The sequence below is a fragment of the Homo sapiens genome, chromosome 4, assembly GCF_000001405.40.
Source record: "Homo sapiens chromosome 4, GRCh38.p14 Primary Assembly".
Classification (NCBI taxonomy): Eukaryota; Metazoa; Chordata; class Mammalia; order Primates; family Hominidae; genus Homo; species Homo sapiens.
In genome coordinates this window covers 76883869-76907979 of record NC_000004.12, presented here as the reverse complement: position 1 = coordinate 76907979, position 24111 = coordinate 76883869, and the positions used below count along the sequence as shown (strand labels likewise).

The 24111-nt window shown below is 44.9% G+C and overlaps 1 protein-coding gene and 2 pseudogenes across 1 annotated transcript, besides 4 other annotated features; 2 read left to right on the top strand and 1 right to left on the bottom strand.

The window, feature by feature from the left end:
- Positions 9676–9745: a silencer, noted in NCBI's record as "silent region_15496". NCBI's record gives its function as "represses an Ori minimal core promoter by ATAC-STARR-seq in GM12878 lymphoblastoid cells {active_cell/tissue: GM12878}" and the evidence as "EXISTENCE:reporter gene assay evidence [ECO:0000049][PMID:35858748]".
- Positions 9816–10115: a silencer, noted in NCBI's record as "silent region_15495". NCBI's record gives its function as "represses an Ori minimal core promoter by ATAC-STARR-seq in GM12878 lymphoblastoid cells {active_cell/tissue: GM12878}" and the evidence as "EXISTENCE:reporter gene assay evidence [ECO:0000049][PMID:35858748]".
- SOWAHB (sosondowah ankyrin repeat domain family member B) lies at positions 9836–13828 on the top strand. The gene has a single exon (NM_001029870.3). It carries the CDS (start codon positions 10131–10133, stop codon positions 12510–12512), a length of 2382 nt encoding a protein of 793 aa, NP_001025041.1. The 5' UTR covers positions 9836–10130; the 3' UTR covers positions 12513–13828.
- Positions 10376–10485: a silencer, noted in NCBI's record as "silent region_15494". NCBI's record gives its function as "represses an Ori minimal core promoter by ATAC-STARR-seq in GM12878 lymphoblastoid cells {active_cell/tissue: GM12878}" and the evidence as "EXISTENCE:reporter gene assay evidence [ECO:0000049][PMID:35858748]".
- Positions 16533–21935, bottom strand: RPL26P17 (ribosomal protein L26 pseudogene 17; annotated as a pseudogene).
- Positions 17437–17621: a silencer, noted in NCBI's record as "fragment chr4:77811512-77811696 (GRCh37/hg19 assembly coordinates)". NCBI's record gives its function as "represses an EF-1alpha promoter that drives an FKBP-Casp9 reporter gene in an ReSE screen in HepG2 liver carcinoma cells {active_cell/tissue: HepG2}" and the evidence as "EXISTENCE:reporter gene assay evidence [ECO:0000049][PMID:32094911]".
- On the top strand, positions 21426–22381 carry LOC100421494 (microtubule affinity regulating kinase 2 pseudogene; annotated as a pseudogene).

The following is a 24111-nucleotide window of genomic DNA, read 5'->3' as shown; positions in this document are numbered from 1 at the left end:
AATGTGAGCACTGGAAAGGACTTCAGAATCAACTAATCTAATTCCCCCATTGTACAAATGAACAGACTGAGGCCCAGAGAGGTTTGAAATTGGCCAAATTTAAGGAGATAGGAACAGAGCCGAGATGACAAAATTGCTTGAAAGTCTGTGCTTTTTCTAGGTGAACTATACATATATATTTGGGAATCATAAGAATATAAGCAGTGATTGAATCTGAGGAAATAGAGTTACTCAGGAAGAACACAAGAATTAGTACAGAATGCTGAAAGAAGAATGAAAATAGATTTGAAGTCAACTTGATTCAAATATCCCAATGTAATGGTATTAGGAAGTGGTGCCTTTTTGAGGTAATTGGGTCATGAGGGTGGAGTCCTCATGAGTGGGATTAGGGCCCTTATAAGGGGCTGAAGAGACCAGAGTTTTCCCTTCCACCAACTGAAGACTCATATAGAAGGTACTATTTATGAACCAGAGGGTAGGTCCTCAGCAGACACCAAATCTGCTGCAACCTTGATCTTGGACTTCCCAGTCTCCAGAAATGTGAGAAACAAATTTCTATTGTTTAAAAGCCACCCAGTTTATAGTATTTTGTTATAGCAGCCTGAATGGGCTAAGACACCATTAAACTTTGAAACTTGGTTTTTCCACATGTAAAATCAGGATACACGTAGAAAACCTGCTGATGCCTTTAAAAAATTTTAAACCCATATGTTCTAAAGTTGGTAACAGAGGAAGACTTTCCACAAGATGGAGGAAAGTCTTTTACTCCAGATCTTAAAATTAACCTTACTCTTGGGGTATAAGGTTACTCACACTAATGTCTGCTGGAGCCACAATCAGCAAACTGGCTTTAGGGGTACAAAGCATGGATTTTACAGTTTCTCTCATTGCCATAGTATGGTTGAGACAGCTTATAATATTTATGCAAGATACTACTAAAGATGGACCCCTCATGTTGGAGCTGGACATAGGACTTTTTTCTTCTCTTTCTAGATTTCTTCCATAGATACATTCATCTAATCCCATAGCTTTAAAATACCACCTCAAAGCCAAAGACTCAAATTTATACCTCTAGCTCTGACCTACTCCTGAGCTCCAGACTTATATGTCCAATTGCTTGCTCTAGATTATTACTTAGATATCTAATGGTCATTCAAATATAACATTTCCAAAATGGGATGCTTGACTTCCTGCTCCCAAACCAGTTCTTCCTGCAATATTCTCAATCTTGGTAAACTTATATCCAATTGATATAGTTTGGATATCTGTACCCACCCAAATCTCAGGTTGAATTGTAATCCCCAGTGCTGGAGGTGGGGGCCGGTGGGAGGTGATTGGATCACGGGATGGATCTCTCATGGCTTGGTGCCGTCTTCATGATAGTGAGTAAGTTCTCGCGAGATCTGGTCATTTAAAGGTTGTGTGTACCCCCCTCACCCTCCCTCTCTCTTGCTCCTGCTTTTGCCACTTGAGGTGCCTGCTCCCCTTTAGCCTTCCACCATGATAGGAAGCTTCCTGGGGCCTCCCTAGAAGCCAAGCAGATGCCAGCATCATGCTTCCTGTAAAGCCTACAGAACTGTGAGCCAATTAAACTTCTTTTTCTTATAAATTATCCAGTTTCAGGTATTTCTTTATAGCAATGTAAGAACAGCCTAAGAAATCAATCCATCAGCAAACTCTCTTAGTTCTACCTCTGGAACATTTTGCGAATCTCAATCTTTCTCCACATCTGATGCCTTAATATTCCAAGCCACTGCCATCTCTTACCTCCCCTTCTGTGGTAGTTTCTCAGCTGGATTTTCTGTTCCTACTTTAATATCCCCTACAATCTACTCTCCACACAGCAGCCAGATGGTCTGTTTACTACATAAATTATGTGTCACTCTCTTGGTTATAAACTTCTAATGGCTTCCCATCACACTTAGATTGAAACTCTAACCCCATTAGGCCCTGCAAGACCCAGATCCTGCTTACTGTCTGACCTCACCCCACACTTTCCTTGCTCATCATGCTCCAGATTCGAGGCTGGATTGCTTTCTGTTCCTCAAACACACCAAGCTCCTTTCTCTTTCTATCTATCTATCTATCTATCTATCTATCTATCTATCTATCTATCTATCTACCTAATCTATCTATCTTTATCACAAGAATCAGAGGTGAAACCATGCTCATTTCTGATGTAACCTCAGCAGTTCCCTCTGTCTGGAAGGCTCATTCCATCCTGTTCCCTCCTCCCCATCTTCACTTGGCTGCATTCTTCTCATCGTTGTGGTCTCTGCTTATTTTTATGTTCTAACAAAGGCCTTCCCTGCCTGTCCTTGCTAGAATAGCTCTCTAGTCAGCCTCTATCATATCAGCTGGCTTTTGCATCTGAGCATTTATTGCTACTGATATTTCCTTGTTTATTTTCTGTCTATTGTCTGTTTCTTTCTCACTAGAATGTAAACTTTCTGAGAGCAGTGATTCTATCTGTTTGGTTTACCACTGTGTTCCCAGCCTCAGAAAAGTGCATATACCTGGTGGGCCCTCAATTAATATTTGATGAATAAATAAATAAAGGTTCAAATAAGAGAAGGGAAGTAAATGCAGGAAGCACCATATCATTAGATTGTCTGGCACATAAATTAGAATCCCCAACTTCAGCTTGTAGTTCAGCATGAAAATGCATTTCCCTTGCTATGTCAGAATGTCTAGACTTGTGGAAATCCAAACCTGAACAAAGGACAGTGAGGACAGAGGGTTGGCAAGCCCCCTGGTTTTCTCTCCTGCATTTCTACATTCTACCTTTGCTACGGTTTCACCTGGGTGTTAGTCCATTTTGCATTGTTATAAAGGAATACCTGAGACTGGGTAATTTATAAAGAAAAGAGGTTTATTAGGCTCGTGGTTCTGCAGGCTGTACAAGACACATGGTGCCAGCATCTGCTCAGCTTCTGGTGAGGCCTCAGGAGCCTTTACTCATGGCAGAAGGCAAAGGAAGCCAGTGTGTCACATGGTGAGAAAGGAAGCAAGAGAGAGGGAAGGTGATGCCAGGCTCTTTTTAACAGTCAGTTCTGGTGTGAACCCATAGAGCAAGAACTTTCTCATTACCATGAGAAAGGCACCAAGCCATTCATTAGGAATCTACCCCTATGACACACACACCTCCCAGAGGCCCCACCTCCAACACTGGGGATCGAATTTCAACATTAGACTTCGAGGGGACAAACATCCAAACTATATCACCTGGGGATCTACCCACTGACCTGGATGATTAACACTGGGCAGTTCCACCTTCCTGAGTGGTGATATCACTCCACATCCACAGTAGAGGTTTGGATGGAAGGCAAAGAATAAGCTCATCAGAACATCCTACAAGAAATACAGACTTATTAATAGCAAGGAGAGCTGCTTTCTGCAAGATAATTGAGTTAGTTTGTTCAGGCTGTTTTAACATAATACCATAGACTTGGTGGCTTAAACAACAAACATTTATCCCTCATAGTTCTGGAGGCTGAGAAGTACAAGATCGAGATGTTGGCAGATTTGGTGTCTAGGGAAGGCCCACTTCTTGGCTCATAGACAGCTGTCTTGTCACTGTGCCTTCACATGGCAGAAAGGGGTGGGGGAACTCTGTGGGTTCTCTTTTATAAGGGTACAAAGCCTATTCATAAGGGCTCCACCTTCATAAGCTAATTACTTCCCAAAGGCCCCATCTCCTGATACCATCACATTGGGGGTTAGGATGTACAACATGTGAATTTAGAGGATCACAAACATTTCATCCATAACAGTAATGATCTCTGTTCTACACACTTCCCATACTTGTTCTGATGATCTGATAAAGAAGTGTGGTCTGGAACATGACCCACATGTGTAAATCACTACATTATTACACTATTTGCTCCTCATCACTATGTGTTGATGAGGAGCAGAGCAAATACTCCTGGCAGAATGCCATCAGTGTTCCTCATACCACAGTACTAAGGACTTAGACAATTTTTGTTGTCCTCTCCATCCTAGATAACTCTGTATCCCTGTATAAGACTCATTCAACACCTGGTCTCACCATTCTATGGTATCGTCATCTTCAATATGCCTCTCCCCTCCACCATGCTTCATTCATGTGGTCACACTCTGAACCTTGTCATCACTCCCAAACTATTCCACTTTGGAAACCTCAAGCCTCAAGACCTGGGAATAACTGATGTTCTGCTCACAATGTCCTAACCCTCTAGCTCTCATATTCACTTACTCCCCTTGTGCCTGCTTTTCAACCCCACCAAGACTTCCTCAAACCTTTTCTCCCTATCTCTTAGGCCCCTTCTGAGCTGACTTCCTTCACTATTCATCCATACCACTTCCTTCTTCCAAAATCTTAATTTTCATGCCCCCACCTGCCAACCCTCAACTCTGGAACAGTCTAGCGCCTGCCTTTCCTGTTTCTAAACACCCAGGGTACTGTGCCCTCATGGAGAAAATAACAGAGTGGTTTGATCTGGTGACACCATAAACTTTCAAAATAAGTTGTTTCCTTTGGCCAAATGGCAATCCTATATGCTTCTCCCAATTGCCCTAACTGATGCATGAACTTTATTCATGCTTCTTTCTCTCTCATACATATTCATACTCAGTGAATGGCATCCTTTTCTATACCATGAGGAAAATGGAGGTCTTCACGCATAAAACCTCTCAGCTTTCTGCTCTCCATGTGCAAATAAAGTGAATGTATATCTACAGCTATGGCCAAGATGAACTGCTGTTAACCAGAATCTATTCCTCCCTTCCTCCTGGACATGCAGCTCCGCTACATTTCTCAACCTCCCTTGCAGTTAGGTGTATCATGTGATGAAATTTTTTGCCATTGGAATTTGAGCATTAGTATTGTCTACCACTTCCATGCCTGGTCTATAAAAATGTTTCACGTGCACATCACCGTGATCTTTCCCCTTCTGGCAAGCTGTTTGATGATATGAAAACCATGTGTTAAAGATGGCAGAGCTGCCATCAGCTTTGTTCCTTAAATAACTGCATGGGAAGTAGCTGCCTGCCTGTCTTTAAAAACTGCCCTAAAAATGATGTAAGTGAGAAATAAACTTTATTTTTGAGTCATTACGAGTTAAGGTTTATTTTTATAGCAGGTTAGCCTATGCTAATGAATACAATAGCTATTTTTCCTCTCTCAGTTCTTAATGGGAAAAATGGCTCTCCTCTCTCCTGTCCCAGGGAATCCCTCTACCTGAACTCTGGACTCCAACCCCACCCCAAGCCCTGTTTCATCAATTATTTACTCTCTCCTCTAGGTCTCAACTTATCCTCTCCTGGCTCTTTTCCCTCAGCACACAGACATGCTCATATCTCTTCTAACAACTATACAAAACAAATCTTACATTACATGATCTGATATTCTCCTTGTCTAGAATTCTCTTTTCTCCTTCCTTTCATGCTCAAGGCTTTTTTCATCCCATTCTCTACCCCACTTACTCTATGACCTGGTCTCTGTCCCTACCACCGTTGTGAAACTGCTCCAGATTGGGCCCCAGTGGCCTAACAGGCTATGGTCATATTTCACGTCTTATCTAACTTGGCATCTTGGCATAGAAAGCTGTTCTTCCTCCTTCCTTGGTGCTCCTCTTCCCCTCCAGCTGCTCCTTCTAAGTCTCCCTGACAGGTTTCTTTTCCTCTCTCTTTGGTAAATGTGGATTCACCCTCTACCCTCATTTCTTCCCACTGCCTATATATCTCTTTCTAAACAATTTTGTTATTGCCTGTGGTTTAAATGACCATTATTTATAGATGCTAATGCCACACATCCTTGAGCCTTGAACCTATATTACCAACTGCCTCCTAGATATTTCTATCTTTATGGCCCATAGGCACCTCAAACTTAATATGTCCAAACTGAATTGATCATCTTTCCCATTTCCAACAACGACTGCTTTTATATTTTCTACTGAGGCGGATGGTAACAATTGTCCATGGGTAACAGTCATCCACTAACCCTCTGAGCTGACTTCCTTCACTATCCATTCATACCACTACACTCTTCCACAAGCTTAATTTGTATGCCCTAACCTGCCAACCCTCAACCTGGAACAGTTCAGTGCCTGCCTTCCCTGTTTCTAACCCCCCAGGGTATACTGTTCCCTAATGGAGAAAAACACACAGTGGTTGGTCGGGTGGCACTATATCCAGGCACTCAAGCTAGACACATGGGAGTAAGCCAACCTGGTCTCTCATCCTCAGACTACTCTGGCTCCAAATCCTATTACATGTATCTACTGAACACTTCTCCAATACATCTGTTCGTCTCCCTTTCTTGGCCACTGCTGAGCTCAGACCTTTTTCATCACTTTCTTAGATCATCTCAGTAACTTCTGGACTATTCTTCCTGTGGGCAGCCTCACCTTCCTCCTACAGCCTAAAGACTTGATATTGTCTCTTTCTTTGTTGATATTCATTTATGGGATTCTTTTCGTTAGTGTCTTTTTCAAACTAAAAAGTAATATATTCTCATTGTAAAATAGTTTATAAGGCTATTTAAAAAAATTAAAGTCACCCCGTATCCAGTCCTTAAATTTTACCCCCAAATACATATACACATAGTTTTTTTCTAAAAATAGGATCTTATTACACATGCCATATTTCTCTATGCCATATTCTATTTTAGGAGGAACTTTTTTCCATATTTTAACATCTCTAAAATCACAATGTGTCATACAATCAATGGTTCTTAGGTTTGGTTACATACAACATTGTTCTACAATGTACTCTTTTTACTTATTAATATTGGTCATGATTCCAAACCAACACTTACTTCCAGGAGATCTTTCTAAAGTACAAATCTGGTCAGGTTGCTACCCTTGGGAAAATTCTTCCAAGCCGCCCCTGCCCCCAAAGCCCTTCATCTTCTGATTCCCATCTACTTTTTCCCTTTCCAGCACATCCACACACATCGTCTTCCTTAAAGCCAAACAGGCCAAGCAGATCTATTGGCAGTTCATTCCCCAAATAGCGATGCTAAGCCAGCTCTTTGCCTTCGCACCAATGTTTTTTCTGCCTTAAAGCCTATTCTCACCTTTTTACTCAAAGTTAGCTCTTTTCTTTTCTTTCTTTGTTTGTTTTTTTTTTTTGTTTTTTTTTTTTTTGTTTTTTTTTTTTTTGAGACGGAGTCTCGCTCTGTCGCCCAGGCTGGAGTACAGTGGCGCGATCTCGGCTCACTGCAAGCTCCGCCTCCCGGGTTCACGCCATTCTCCTGCCTCAGCCTCCCGAGTAGCTGGGACTACAGGCGCCCGCCACCACGCCCGGCTAATTTTTTTGTATTTTTAGTAGAGATGGGGTTTCACCATGTTAGCCAGAATGGTCTCGATCTCCTGACCTCGTGATCCGCCCGCCTCAGCCTCCCAAACTGCTGGGATTACAGCTGTGAGCCACCGCGCCCAGCCCCAAAGTTAGCTCTTACTGGAAAATTGTCCTGATCCCCCAAGCTGAGCCTGAGTTCTTCCTTTATGCACCTCCCCTCAACTTCACCAGTATGTGGTGCATGTCTCTGTTAAATCACTTAGCACTCAGGTTCATGCCATTTCTCTTGTTGCTCCTTACTAAATAGAGAGAAATAGTGAATTCTCAAGTACACTTTCTTCTTTATACCCATTTCCAACAGTGTCAGGGTAATGTAGGAGCTTCATAAATATTTTTGGAAATAATGAACTGTATATGTGGGAGGCAGGAAAATTCTCCCTGAGATAATGTAAAGAGCTTTCCAATTAACCACCTCTTTATCCTGGGACAAGAGAGAGAGAGAGGAGAAGGTCTGGACACCAAAGTACCTGGGAATCCAGAAATCTAAAGCAATCAGATTTTTTTTTCTTCTTTTTGGCTCCAATCCTATTAATTCCACCCTCAACTAAAAATGATCTGATTTCAACAAACAGATGCTTTATAATCTCCCCTCACCTGGCCCTCCACTTTCTTTCACTCTAGTCTTTTTATTTCCTTTGAGTCGAAACCTCAGTCCATATTATGGCTCTCTTTTGCAGTTAGCCCCTTATTTTGTAACCAGATGTTTTAAAAAGTAGCAAAGAGGGATTCTTTCCACTTGCCATTCTAAAATGCCCACTTGAGTCTTTCATTTGGTGTTCCTCCTGCCTTAGGTATGGACTCACCTTACTCAGTCCCAACAAGACTCTATACCAGCAAATAAACTCAAAAGAAAGCTGAAATTTAATACAAAACCTTAATTTTAAAAACTATCCTAAAGGCTTGATGTTATGTAGAGACATCAGTGAAAACCACTATCCCTCTCTCAACCCAGTATTGGGTTTGGATCCTAGAAAATGCCAAAAATAGACAAAAATGTTTCCAGTTCTTTTTTTCTGACCTAGATAATGTAAAACCAAAGATTCATTCCTGGAAAAGTGCTAGGGTATTTTTGGGGATTTAAAATCAAGCTCAGTTAATGTGGTCTATAGGGCAGTCACTAAGATTGGTCCATGCTAAAACATGTCTTTGTCAACAATTGTAGGGCCAACACACATACTTTCAATACTCTTTCTTGGCGAGAAGTATAGGAACTATGAGTAATCAGAAATAGAAGAGCAAAAGGAAAAGTGAAAAGATGAGAAGAGTCCATGAGAAAAGAGAGGCAAATTACAGGGAAGGAGAAAATCGAGGTTTTTGAATGGGAAATACAGTGGACATGAGAGGATCTGAGAAACAGACATATTTCCTGTCAGTAGAGGCCGAAGGTAAACAAGGATGTCGTGTAACAGAAAGAAATGGGAAGGCCAAGTTAAAGAAAAGAATGAGAGAAGGCTTGGAACTAAAACAGGTAAAGAGATAATGACAGTGAAAACTATCTCAGGCATGTCAACAGGACTGATAAGGAACAGTGAGGGACATCCAGGATCTCACATCAAAGACAGAAGGGTCAACATGTGGAGAGAGAAAAAGGAAGAGGGATCCCAGCTGTTAGGGGGAAAAGGTGCTGTTAAAGACAGCTCTAGTCTGCATTTTGAACCTTACATTCTGAAAGGAAGCACTTCACCAAGCCAATACAAAACACTGTACAAATCTCTGCTGTTCACAAATTTTAGAGTAAATAAAAGCAAACTAATGCTACACATCAAATACCTTAACTGGCGAGACATAATTCCTAGTTCATTTTAGCCGCCGGGGGCAAGAAGCTATCAAAGTGATTTTTTTTTTCCAGCACCTTAATGTGAGACAAGTATGAAGGAAAGACAAGTATGAAAGAAAAAGTCCCAAACCAATATTGCCCAGTAGTAATTTTCAGAGTGATTTCTCTTTTCAGTATAGACTTGGATGTATTCGGACCCCTTGGAGGGGGCGCCGGAGAAGCGGCCCAGAAAGTATTTCTATATTAAGAAAAATTTAGTTTGGATGCAAAGTGAGTTTTGCGGACCTCAATACAGCCTCGAGAAATCTGAAGTACTCCTCTACAGCGTTAATAAAGAAAGATAACTCAGATTGCCTGTTAACTTGCAGCTTCTCCTCCTCCCCCATCGGCTTCAGCCTGAACTCATCAAAGCACCGGAGGACAGGAACGGACCTTCTATCGCTTTTGTTTCCTGCGTGGCGGAGACTTAGAGGAACGGCCGGTCGCCTACCTGCCTTCCACTTCCCCGGCCGCAGAGCAGTTCGCTGCCGGCTCGGTTCGCCGCCAACCTCACCTACCGGCTGGCTCTCCGGCCTGACTCTTCTGGGATGGGTGGCAGGGGGTGGGGGAGACCTCAGGGGGCGGAGGGACACGAGGAGGCGGGCCTGACCCTTCCCCCAGAGGCAGGGAGGAGGTGCCGCCAGGGCGCAGGTGAAACCGACTCGGCCCTATCCCGGGAACTTTCGCTGTGAGGACTCGTTGCGAGAGGCTAGAGTCGCGCAGGGGCGGCCTCGGAGCCGCCCTCTCTCACGCAGACTGCCGCGGGGACTCAGCCTTGGGGCCACCCGGAGGGGACCCACGGCCCTCCTGGCGCGCTCACGGGCTGCGGGCAGCGCTGGCCTCCGCGGCTGATGGGGGCGGCTAGTGCCGCCCCGGGCGCAGGTGACACTCGCCCGGCCAGGGTTTCCTCTGGCTGGGGAGAGCCCCGGGAGGGCGAGACTCAGACACCTCTGGGGCGGAGGACAAGGCAGCGATGGCCCGAGAGCTGAGCCAGGAGGCACTACTGGACTTTCTGTGCCAGGCTGGGGGCCGCGTGACCAACGCTGCCTTGCTGAGCCACTTCAAGAGCTTTCTCCGAGACCCCGACGCGTCCCCCAGCCAGCACCAGCACCGCCGCGAGCTCTTCAAGGGCTTCGTCAACTCGGTCGCCGCAGTGCGCCAGGACCCCGACGGCACCAAGTACGTGGTGCTCAAGAGGAGATACAGGGACCTTTTGGGGGAGGAGGGGCTGCAGCGACCCCGCGAGCCGCCCGCGGCCGCCCCCAGTGCAGGGGGAGCTGCGCCCTGCTCCCCGCGAGGCGCGCGCCGGGGGGAGCCGCCCCAGCAGCAGCCCAGGCGGCGGCGGCGCGAGAAGGAGCCGGAGGAGGAGCCAGCAGGTGCAGCAGCCAGAGCCGCCGACGCAGCTTGCAATGGACTCCCGGGCAGCGACTCCCGTAGGGCGCCCGGGAAGGGCGGCGGATCGAAGGGCAGTCCCGGACAGAGGCCGCCGGTGCCCGCAGCTGCAGCGGCAGGGGCCCAGGCGAGAGCGAGCTGCGCGGCGGCGAAGACGCAGGGCCGCTGCTGCTGGGAATGCCTCCAGAACAACCTGGCTGTACTGCCGGGAGAGCTCGGCGCACTCCCGCACTCGGCCACCGCGGAGGAGAAGCCGGCACGGGCTCTGCCTGCCCAGGATGACCGCGGGGCTTCCAGGGAGCGGGAAGAAGGCGCGCTAGCTGAGCCGGCGCCTGTGCCTGCAGTGGCTCACTCGCCTCCCGCCACCGTCGAGGCTGCGACAAGCAGGGCTTCCCCGCCTGCTCTCCTGCCCGGCCCCGCTCCCCGCGGAGACCGGCCGGAGCTGCTGACCCCCAGCTCCCTGCATTATTCGACCCTGCAGCAGCAGCAGCAGCGCACTCGAGAGTGGGTGGCCAGGCACCCGCAGGTGCCCGAGGCCCGTGATCAGGGCCCTATCCGCGCCTGGTCGGTGCTGCCAGACAACTTCCTCCAGCTGCCCTTGGAACCCGGCTCCACGGAGCCTAATTCAGAGCCGCCAGACCCCTGTCTTTCCTCGCACTCTCTCTTTCCTGTTGTTCCGGATGAGTCCTGGGAATCCTGGGCGGGGAACCCTTCATTGACTGTCTTTCGCAGCATTCGTTGTCAGCTGTCCCTCCAAGATCTGGATGACTTTGTGGACCAGGAGAGTGATGGCAGTGAGGAGAGCAGCAGTGGGCCCAAAGACTCCCCGGGGGCTTCTGAAGAGGGGCTGCAGGTTGTCTTGGGAACCCCAGATAGGGGGAAGCTCAGGAATCCAGCTGGGGGCCTTTCTGTATCTCGGAAGGAGGGCAGCCCCAGCCGGAGCCCTCAGGGTCTCAGAAACAGAGGGGATGGTCACATCTCTCAGCAGGTCCCTGCAGGGGCTAATGGCCTTGCAGGCCACCCCCTGAAGCCTTTGCCTTGGCCAGTTCCTAAGTTAAGGAGGTCCCTCAGGAGGAGCTCTCTGGCAGGGAGAGCCAAATTGTCCTCCTCTGATGAGGAGTACCTCGATGAGGGCTTGCTGAAAAGAAGTCGGCGCCCACCTCGATCCAGGAAGCCCTCCAAGGCAGGAACGGCACCCAGCCCAAGGGTTGATGCAGGTTTATCACTAAAACTTGCAGAGGTTAAGGCTGTTGTGGCCGAGCGGGGTTGGCGACACAGCCTGTGGGTCCCCAGTGGGGAGGGGTCTGCAGCCTTGGCCCCCCACAGAACTTCTGAGCACAAATCATCCCTGGTTCCACTAGATGCCAGGGAGCATGAGTGGATTGTGAAGCTTGCCAGTGGCTCCTGGATTCAGGTGTGGACTTTGTTCTGGGAGGACCCTCAACTGGCCTTGCACAAAGACTTTTTGACTGGGTACACTGCGTTGCACTGGATAGCCAAACATGGTGACCTCAGGGCCCTTCAGGACTTGGTGTCTGGAGCAAAGAAGGCAGGGATTGTCCTTGATGTAAACGTGAGGTCCAGTTGTGGATATACCCCGCTGCACCTTGCAGCCATTCACGGCCACCAGGGGGTCATCAAATTGCTAGTGCAAAGGTTGGCTTCTCGGGTAAATGTCAGGGACAGCAGTGGGAAGAAGCCATGGCAGTATCTAACCAGTAATACCTCTGGGGAAATATGGCAGCTGTTGGGAGCTCCTCGGGGCAAGCCCATTTTCCCTGTCTATCCCTTAGTTGGAAGTTCTTCCCCTACCAGAAAGGCCAAGAGCAAGGAAATATCTAGAAGTGTCACCCGAAAAACTTCCTTCGCTGCACTACTCAAAAGTCAGCACAACAAGTGGAAACTGGCCAACCAGTATGAGAAATTCCACAGTCCAAGGGAAAGAGAAGAGTATAGTGACTGAGGTGGGTCTCTCTGTCCAACATGCAGGCAGCACTCCCTCATCCTGCTCAGTGAGAGAATTCAGGGGGAATAGAAAAGCTGCTGAGAGTTGGTAAAGAGGATGGTCGAGTGAGATGGTGTTGACCTCCCTGGATCTTATGTCACTACATCCTGGACCTCAAGAGGGTCATCCAAGCTTTTTGAAAGCTGAACTCCTTGACTGGAGAAACCTAGACAAGAGGCGGGGCCAGGTGCTTGATATCTAGGAGGCATTCTTCCTCTTCCCTTGCCACCATGGAGCTGGGCACAGTAAGCCATATTGTTTCCTGAAGCAGGAGTCCCAGGCCTTGGCTAGAGAGGGAACAGATGTCTAACAAAAAGAGAAGCAATTCGAGGAATTGATGAAGCACAATTAAAATCCTCTCTGGCTAGTAGCTCTCTGGCTTCTGTTCATTTGAAGAATAAATCTTGGCTGACAGTGGGAAGCACCAGGTTTGAAATCAGATGGCTTTATTTTTCTTTTTTTGGCATTTAAATCAGTGAAATAAAATTATTACTGGAGAGCACAGTTCGATTTAAGAGATTCCTCAGCCCTGTTCTCAAGTCTTCTTTTGAATTCCATGCATGGTGGTTAATGGGTAAAATGATTAATGCCTCCTTTGGGTCTTCTCACTGATCAGAGAAGCAGCTGGGTAAGATCCAGTTATGACTTGGACTCCATTCCTAAGAGGAATGACTGTCATTCAGGCCCTGCTTTTTTGTATCAACCCGAAGGGAACTTTCCAAATGTAAAAACCATGTGGCTCATTTACATAGTGACTGAAACCATCTTTCATGGAAACTCCCTGTGTAACAAACAGAATTATCGTTACTAGTTTTCAGAGGTTTGAATGGCCAACGTTTGTACTCATAAAAAGAGAGAAATGATTTCACTCTGGGGAAACAGTAAGGGTTAAGAGAATGCATCCTTACCAGGACTATCTAAGCCGCTAAATATAATTGTATTTGCACTAAACTTGTTGCCAATTAAGATTAAATATTAGCCTTTAAGTACTCTATATCTAACATGAAGTGCTCCTTTTTAATTGCTTTTGAAGAGACCGATAACTTGTGAGTTCATGGAGTGAGAAAATGGCTAGTCTATAAACGTCAGTAGAGCATCAAGATTTCAGAATAAGTTCAAAGAGGGCTGAAATACATGTTCAAGTGGAAATTGTTAATTTTTTATGGGAATGTTTTCATGAGATGTGACAATGATGCTGTATTTTAAGTCTTTTTGTGTTTCTTCTGGTTATTTGCCCCCATTAAAAGATCAATAGATCTTTATAATTTATTATACTTATGCTGATTACTGTTTTCTTCTTTACAAAATTATGTCTCAGCGAGTGCCAAATATTATTGTTTCTTTGATTTTTTACTTTATAATTTTGCTGAAATAAATACATCTCTTCTACTAGAAAAATAAGCATAATAAATAAATCTAAGAGCTTTTTTCCCAAAAGACCTATATAAGAGATGAAACTTTGTCAAATCAAAGCAAGAAAAATGGCAACCACAGATGGGACATAGTTTGAAGAGATAAAAAATTAAAAGAATACAATAGACATCTATGCAAATACTCTGGTAAACTAGTAAAAATTGTAAACTACTAGTAAGCTAGTGATATTTCATGGAAAAAATGTCAACTTTCTAAAAAAATCCAATGAATGCTTTTACTTTGTCATATTGTTATTACTACATCAATTTATTCAACAGATGTGTTTTGTGTAGTGCTGTGGGATTTATAAAGATGAGTGGGAGATGACCCCTCCTGTCTTGAAATTTAAAATCTGACAATATTACTGATTGCTTTATACCCTTTTTTTTTTTTTGAGACAGAGTCTCAAAAAAAGTTGAGGCTGGAAGTTGCCCAGACTAGAATGCAGTGGTGTGATCCTGGCTCACTGCAACCTTCGCCTCCCAGGTTCAAGCAATTCTTCTGCCTCAGCCTCCCGTGTAGCTGGGATTATAGGCAACCACCACCACTACTGGCTAATTTTTGTATTTTTAGTAGAGACGGGGTTTCACCATGTTGGCCAGGCTGGTCTCGAACTCCTGACCTAAAGTGATAAGTTGTATGTTTCAATATTCCCAAAGTGTTGGGATTACAGGTGTGAGCCACTGTGCCTGACCTGTACCCTATCTTGCTCCCATGATGTCTTTTAAAGCTGCATTATATCAGAAAATAAGCTTGTAAAATCAGGCAAAGAGAAAAGAAAGATGGTACCAGAAATGAGGACAAACAGCAGCAATGCAAGAAAAAATTTTCAAAAGTGTCCTAAGTACAAAATACATGCTCTGGAGAGAGCACTTGTTTCAGGAGAGAGAGGGAGAGGGAAAGGGAGAAAAAGAGAAAGAAACAGAGAGAGAGAAACAGAGAGAGAGAGATCCTTTCGGGCTGGGAAAATCAGGGAGGGCTTCGTAGAGGCCAGGAATCTTTTAATTGAATGATACTAACTTTCCCAAGAAACCAGCTCTGTTAGTCCTACCACATTCTTGACTTCTGCTTCAGTGTGTGATTTACATAGCACTAGTGTTGGCTGATTGTTCACTGGTTAGAACACAATCGTAAGTCTCAAGTTGATTCTTATGATGATTCATCATGTCCCTCATACCTGCGTCTGGTCAACTCTTTTACATGGTCAATATGCTATGTTGGGGAGGAGTCAGGGGAGAAGAGGGTGTAGAGAGCTGATTAAAACACACATCTGATCCTGACACCCTCTTACTCATCTTGTGAAGTCCAGGCCAGGAGGGCTGCCAGGACTAGCGTACTTTCCCAGCTTTCTGCCAGCCACTCCCTGCCATGAACCCTAAACTTCAGCTACAGCAGACCCATTGGGATGCTGGTGGCCCTAACCTCTCAGTTTCTGTCTTGTGCTGGATTTCTTTTACTTAGAAAACCCTTTTTGCTATTTTCCTGGTAATCTTATTCCTCAAAGGATAGCTCAAATGTCACAGCCTATATGAAGATTCCAGGACAAACACCTCCAAGCTGGAAGCTTTATAGCTCCTTCATCAGAATTCTTACAATACTGTGTACATAACTCATTTACAATTTTTGCCACATAGTATTCAAGTAAATTGTATGTCTCAATATTCCTGAAGATTTTGAACATCTGGAGATTAGTGAATATGTTTTCAATTCATCTAGATTTCCAGATATTTATGGAGCATCTGCTATGTGATAAAGACATAATTCCTGCCTTTAAGAGCTCATAGTCTACTGTGGAAGGAGATGTGAGGGTTGTGTCACTGAAAATTGCTTCTAGCACAGTGAGGTAAGTGCACAGATATGTGTGTGTGTCAAGACTCTGAGAATTCAGAGAAGGGGACGTTTGTGAAGCATTTTCTATGTGCCAGTCTCTTTGGTTATGCTGGAAATAAAACATTTAGTAGAATATACCTATTTCCTGCTCTGATTATGCTTTTCTGGATTGGGGAAGTCAGGAGGGAAAGAGGAAGTTAGATGAGCTTTGAAGGGTGAAGTGCAGGAAAGAGTTCTGGAAGAATATCCCAGGAGAGGGAAGGGACATGACCAAAACCACAGAGTGGTTTGGGGATACTGAGCCACATAGTGTGGCAGAAGTGAGGCAGTGTAGAAAGAGATGAAACTGGAAAGGTCATTTAGGACTAGGTTGAAAGAAGGGTCTTTTTGACCTCAGGAAATACAGGCATTTTCTAGGAAGCCAAGCATTGTGAAAACTCCTCCCAGAAAAACTTAGTGTTATTCCAAATCCAGGTGTTTTCCTGAAGTCTTAATTTGAAGACAAAAAATATTTCAAAGTATTAGATTAAATGTGCTTTAAGTTCCTCTTTCAAATTTTTCTTAGGTCTTCAGTGTTGTTAATGCTTATTTGCTAGCACATAGTGGTAAGCAACAAAGTAATTTAACAAATGGCAATTTCATTTTAAAACCAAACATTAGAAATTGTTGATAAGCTTAGCTCAACACTTTTTTTTTCATTTTAGCAGTTGTATGAAAGCTTGTATATAGATTCATTTATTCCTGTATCTTCTCAATTGTTTCTTTCTTGTATTTGCCCTTTTTCTTTCCTACTTGGCAAGATTTGGCTTTCTGTTCATGGATCTTTTTATGGTCTTTGTCCACTTTTAGCCTAGTGATAACCACTTTGCTGGGGTGAATGCCTACACGGACAGTTGTACCATTAGCCTTTTGCTGCTGCACCCATTCAGTGTAGATGACATCTTTCTTCCTGTAAACCTTGAGTACGTGGCCAATTTGCTGACCTTTACAATGTCCTTGCACAGTCTGAACATCATCCTTCCGGATGGTCATGGATCAAACGTCGTACTTCTGTCTTAGCTCTTTGGAAACGGGGGAAGACATAATCTTCTTCCAAATGTGTGAAAGCGCATTGAAATGCCTTTTGCAGTTCTTGCTTCGGTCTAGTCTTATCTTATGATATTAAAATTGCTTATACTTCAACATTTCAGTGTGCTACACATAGCATGCTATGAATTCCAGATGCCTTGATTCCTCTATACATTTTTGGGTTTTTTTGAGGCAGGGTCTCACTTGGTCACCCAGGCTAGACTGCAGTGTTGCCATCATAGCTCACTGTAACTTCAAACTCCTGGGCTCAAGAGATCCTCCCACCTTAGCCTCTTTAGTAGCTGGGACTATAGGTATACACCACCACACTCAGCTATGTTTTTTTTTTTTTTTAGAGACAAGGTCTCTCTGTTACCCAGGCTATGTTGCCCAGGCTGGGTCTCAAACTCCTGGCCTCAGATTCCCAAAGCACTGGGATTACGTGTGTGAGCCACCACACCTGGTACCCCGTACATGTTTTTTGTTGTTGTTGGGACAGGGTCTCCTGCTGTCACCCAGGCTGGAGTGCAGTGATGCAATCTCAGCTCACTGCAGTCTTGACCTCCCAGACTCAAGCCATCCTCCCACCTCAGCTTCTGGAGTAGCTGGAACTATAGGCGCACACCACCACACCCAGCTAATTTTTTTATTTTTTTGTAGAGATGAAGTCTCACTATGTTGCCCAGGCCGGTCATGAACTCCTGAGCTTAAGCAATCCTCCAGCCTCAGCCTCCCAAAGTGCTGGGATTACAGATATGAGCCATCATGCCCAGCTCCCCCTATACATTTTAAAAAATAACTTTACAATTCAATTCACCTATTTTAAATGTACAATTCAATGATTTTTAGTATAATCACACCTATGCAACTATAACCACATTAAGTTCCTGTATAAATCTGAGAGCCACTGATCCAGGCAATAGGAAGCCATTGAAGGTTTAATGCAGGGGAGTGACATATAAGATGGGGTGAAACAAAGATTCTTCTTGCTGCAGTAAAGGAGATAAACTAGAAGCAGAGATCAGTGAAACTATTGTAATATCTTAGTTTCATATTGGGAATATCAGGAATGTTGACTCAATAAGCTGGATAAGGTGTCATCCATTGGATTGGATATATACAGTGAGGAAAAAAAAACTTTCTTGGTGGGGCTGATTTAGTTGATAAGAATTAAGAATTAGGTAAGATGTAAAAGAGTTTCTCCATTTCCTCTCACCCTCAAAATACCCTGGTTTTGTCAATTTTTTTTTTTTTTTTTTTTTTTTTTGGCAAAGTCTCGCCCTGTTGCCCAGGCTGTAGTGCAGTGGCATGATCTCGACTCACTGCAACCTCCACCTTCCGGGTTCAAGCAATTCTCATGCCTCAGCCCCCTTAGTAACTGGGATTACAGGCGTGAGCCACCACAACTGGCTAATTTTTTTTTTTTTTTTTTTTTGGAGACAGAGTCTTGCTCTGTCACCCAGGCTGGAGTGCAATCTTGGCTCACTGCAACCTCCACCACCCAGGTTCAAGCTATTCCCCTGTCTCAGCCTCTGGATTAGCTGGGATTACAGGTGTGTGCCACCACATCCAACTAATTTTAGGTTTTTTGTTTGTTGTTTGTTTGTTTTTGTTTTTTGAGACGGAGTTTTGCTCTTGTTGCCCAGGCTCACTGCAACCTCCGCCTCCCAGGTTCAAATGATTCTCCTGCCTCAGTCTTCCGAGTAGCTGGGATTACAGGCCCAGCTAATTTTTTGTATTTTTAGTAGAGACAGGGTTTCACCATGTTGGCCAGGCTGGTCTCCAACTCCTGACCTCTGGTGATCCACCTGCCTCAACCTCCCAAAGTGCTAGGATTACAGTCGTGAACCACCACACCCAGCCCTAATTTTAGTATTTTTAGTAGATACGGGGTTTCACCATGTTGGCCAGGCTGATCTCAAACTCCTGACCTCAGGTGATCCGCCCGCCTCGGCCTCCCAAAGTGCTGGGATTACAGGCATGAGCCATTGTGCCCGGCCTAATTTTTGTATTTTTAGAAGAGATGGGGCTTTGCCATGTTCACCAGACTGGTTTTGAACTCCTGGCCTCAAGAGATCCGCCTGCCTCGGCCTCCTAAAGTGCTGGATTACAGGGGTGAGCCATCATGTCTGGCCTGGTTTTATAATTAAATTACTTCATTCCTGTCATGACCATCTAGGTTCATGGTGGCACTGAATCCAGAGTGTAAATTCAAACACTGTACAAGCTGTTTTGCATAGCAGTGCTGCTGTGTACACTTGGGTTTGTCAACATCAAAACAAATTTAAAATGTTTAACGAAAGGTTGTATTATGTAAGTACTTAAGCTCATGGCAATGAAGCTAGGTTGCCTGGTTCCTGTCCTGATTTGGACAAGACCTTCAACTTCTTAGTTTTGTCATTTGTAAGATGGAAATAATAGCAATAGAAAATGGGTTTCCTGAGAGGATAAAATGAATTTATACCTGTACAAAGTTCATAGAAAATGCCTGGCACATAGTAGATCCTCACTAAACATTTGGTATTATTATTTTTAATACCATTCAAAGTATACAGTTCACTTAAATTTCCATCTATGCAGAAAGCAAAGAAATCTAGTTGATTCAAAAGGTGCTGATAAAAATTTATTGATAAAGCTAAATAATTTTCATTATGCTTCTACACGAGAAAGATGTCTGGGTTTCTCATTTCAAATGAAAAAGACTATTTAACTATCTCCTGTGTGTAGCAATCATTAGCTATTATGTCATTAAACAGAATTATGTCCAATTGAAGTCACATAAACTAATACCAGTCAAATTAGAAGCGCTGATGTTGCCCGGAACTGAAACTCAGACAGAGCTCTGAAGGATTCAGGCTTATGGAGAGGTGAGGGGTGTGTGTGTGTGTGTGTGTGTGTGTGTGTGTGTGTGTGTGTGTGTGTAATGCTACTATCACTCATGAATTGGAAAAATCTAAATGGAACCATGCAGTAAACTTTATCAAATTTCTGCTAAATTTGGTCACGATGAAGTCACTGAGTTGGGTTAAAAAGTATTGACCTGACTATTCTTCCTTCATGATATGAAAATGACACTTCCTGATCTCTAGCTACCAAGCTTGACTCCTATTTTCTACTTTTTTGGGGGGTGGGGTGGGGTGGGGGTTGATCCTTTCATTTATTCAGACTTTACTCATCATCACATTCTGAGCCCCTTTCTGCATCTAACTCAGCGTCCTCACACAACTCACAGGCTAGAAAGGACTTCAAAGTGTGATCACAGCACTGAGGGGTCCCAAGTAAGGCAAAAGCGTCTGGGGGAGTGGTAAGGATCCAGCAGGGCCTCATAAGGTGACATCTGAGCTGGGTCTCCAAGAATGAGCCACCACTTAGCTAGGCCTCTGTTTCCATATTGAATCACTGGAATACAATTTGCTGAATTCAACAGATTGATGACCTGGGTTCAGGTTAATTAGCTTTGTTTATGTTTTACTTTTGTTTTCTCTGTCTCCCCCGCTAGACTATCATCCCATAAGAATGGAGACCTCTGCCTGCTTCACTCCCTGCCGTGCTTCCATGTCTGGAGCATGCAATAGGACCTCAGTGAATGTGTGCTGGAAGAGGGAACACTGATCGGAATTTGTCCTCTGAATTTGTCCCCTCACGCTGCAGTGTCAGCTCCTTGAGGAGAGCAACGTCATCAGTCCTGTTGATCCCTGGATCAGCACCTAGAAGGGTTTGGCACATGGTAGGTGATCACTGACTGGCTGATTACAACAGGACACAGCAGCAGGCCTTGAAGCTGGGAGTGAACCCCAAATCCTACCTTCAAGCAGGAAGCCCTGTTCCTTTGTATTATGCCTGAAATGGGGCCTGTGAAGGAGGCGGCAGGAGAGGGGAAGAAGTGCTGCCTTGGGTTCTTGTGTACACAGAAGACAGTGGCGTGGGAGGACATGAGCAGGCATATCCAGGAAATGAACAGAGGGCTCGATCCTGAACCTGCTCTCTCAGGTGTCACACCCTCTCCCACTGGAAGCAGGTGAGCAGCTCCCAAGTTCCCTTGGAGATAGAGGCCACATGACCTCAACCTGGCCAATCAGCAGAGCCCATTCTCTTCAGCCATAGTGATTGGCTGAGGTCTGGGCACGTAACCAGTCGGGTGCCAAAGGTCAGACCTCCGGGTTGGAACCCTGGGGGAACAGAAGCTCTATTTCTGTTAGGTTGCTAGAATGGTTGGTGCCATCTTGTCACCTTGAAGGGAAAGCCCACCCAAGAATGACACCAACACAGAGGGAAGTAAACATAGCCAAGAGGTCAGCAGAGGTGGTTCCTGGTGCCATTATCCAGCACCCAGCTACAGACCAGGTGAAGTTGGCCGGGCACATAGTCACAGGCACTGGAGTGATCCATAGGTCACACACGAAAGTGTGCAGAGCAACTCCAGCTGTGCTCTTTCGTTTTCACAGTTAGCAACGTTTTTATAGGTAGCATTCTTGGTTAGCATTCCTAGTTAGGATTTGTAGCTAGAAGGTTACCATGTGGCAGGGCCTTACGACCATCTCTGCTGATGAGGAGACCCTTACTGATCATTATAGGCTCCTCGAGATCATCAGCCAGGACAGCTTCACCAGGGTGAATGAAGTTCACCAAGTACCTTCTCACTGGGCAGCAGTGAGACTCTAGACTCCCTCTAGAGTCTATTCCATGGGGTCACCCCAAGGTCATCAAACTCTTTCAACACCACAGACACTTTGTTCTTAGCCATGGAGTACGGCCAGCAGAGCAGAGCTGGTCGACTACATCCTAGAGTTGGGCTACATGAAGGCGGAAGAGGCCTGAAGCAAATTCCAGCAGATAGTATCAGCCCTCTAGTACCACCAACAGAAGGGGGATATCCATAGGGACCTGAAGCCCAAGAATTTCCTTGTGGTCCATCACAACATAAAAATAACAGACTTTGGATTTGATACCAGGTTCACTGTAGGCCAGAAGCTGGGCACCTTCGGTGGGAGTCCCTCTTATGCGGTCCTGAACTCTTCCATGGCCAAACATATGATGGGCCCCAGTGGACATGTGGAGCTGGAAAGTCATTCTTTACACCACAGTAACCAGGTCCTGCCATTTATTGGGCAGATTTTGTGGCGCTGAGGAAGCTGATACTGTGTGAACAATTGTACAAGATCCCACTCTTTGCTTTTCATTTCCAGAGAGCTTCATAAACCTATTTCTGACTGCAGGGAGAGGCCTATACTAGTCCACGTCATGGAACACCTATGGATCAACACTGGTCAGGAGGAGACACGAAGGCCATACCGGGAGCTGCTCTCTGATTACCAGGACTCCTGAAACACAGAGCTCATGGTGTCCGTGGGATATGAGGCAGACCACATCCAGTCCTTGTTAGAACAAAAATTTGATGATACCATGGCCTGGTACTGAATCCTGGGCTACAGGAAACCTGATGCAGGGCTCCATCATCACAGCAAAGTCTTTGCCTTCAGTGGATCCCACCCAACAGCTACTAGCCTTCCCCATCACCTGAAAGAAACTCTTATGCTTTAACATACAAAACTTGTTAAAAACATTGGGAAAAGGTGCACAGTTCGTATGTTCTTCATTTGTTCACTCTTAAGGGTACAAAGTGTCTTGTCATTCGTGCTGGTCTAAATATTGTGGGTTGACACAAAATTTGAGGTATAGTAAGGCCAACAGGTCAGGAAACAAGTATTGTACAACTGAAAAGATAATTTGTTGCCCACAGTTCCCCAGAGGACAGGCACACAACATGCAGGACCACACAGAGAAGCACCGGTGGGGGTCAGTAGGCAGAGGGAGTGGGAGAGCTGTGGGCAAGAACCTTTGTTGTGCTTCCTTCTCGGTTTTGCCCAGGAACAGCTCCTTGGCGACAGCTTGGATGGGTGGACTGGTGTACAGCAGGTGCCAGCACATGGTGAAGGCCACTGGAGACTGGCAGGAATGCACCTCACTTGGGGTAGGCTGCAAGAGCCCAGTGCTGCTCATGCTGCCCTGGTTGCTGTGGCCACTACTGCCATTCCCTGCTCAGCACATCAGCATCTGGTCTGTGCAGCCTGATGATGCCCTCTCTTTTCTAGTTTTAAGACTTGTGCGTTTTGTAAAGGCCTTACTGTATGTAAATTAGTTCTCAATTTAAAAAGAAAATACCAAGACAAGTAAGGAGAAATATTTTTCAAATGCCTATTGGGGCCAAAGCCAGGACTGTTTTGAAAGTGTCTAGTTCTTCCAAGTACTCTCTTTTCTTTCTTTCCTTCCTTTTTTCCTTTCCTTGTTTCCTCTTCTTTTACAACAGTGAACACTCCCAAATCTAGCACCTACTAACAGCTATTTCTGTACCATCACTTTTTCGAAAACTATAATTATTAATCTTACAGGATTTGAAGGTTTTTTTCTATTTATGTCCCAAAATACAATTAGCTTCTAGTGAATTCTTATCTTTGATGTCAGCTAGGGAAACACTTCAGAGACATAAATATTGTGAGCCAAGTGACATGCCACCATCCCACAGTGGGTCTCACTGCCTAAGAGAATGGGCCAGTCATGGTAGGGGTAAGACAAGGATTTCAATCTATGATCCTGCTAATGGGCCAGAAATAGTCCAATTTTCTTAGTTATTTGAGGACTGAGAACTTCTCAAGACTTAGTGAATCGCATAAGGGTGTTCAGATCAGAGTACAGTATTCAGAGTTTCTGATTAAAACTGACTTTTAAAAGTGAGCAAAATGAGTATTCTGCGCTGACAGCTTTGCCTGCACTAATGGTCCAGGGAGAGTCACATGGATTTTTCTTCCTGGAAAGGGCCACAGGAATAGCCATGCCTTTACAGTGTTTGCATGTTGTTGAGTGGATGTTCTTAGTTTTCCACCTGGTTTGACCCTAATAGGTTATATGGCAAATATAAAACCTCTGTGAACCTTGATTTTTCTGGGGAAAGGAGAGAGGAGGAAAGAAAAAAACATACCAATAGTATCAAATCAGCCTCAGATCTTCAGGACAGACAGCGCTAAAATACACAATATTACTAATGAGTAGCTGCAAATGGGGGGTGGGGGAGAACAGAAGGCTGATTTTGCTTTATCTGTAAGCCATATATTCTCACAATAATGACTTTAACTCTGGACTCCTAGGGGGCATGTTAACTAAGTAATGTTTCATAGAAATATGTAATTAACCTACCTGTGGAGCCTCTTTCCGTGCATTCTGGAAAGATCACAAAATATTGCCCTGGATT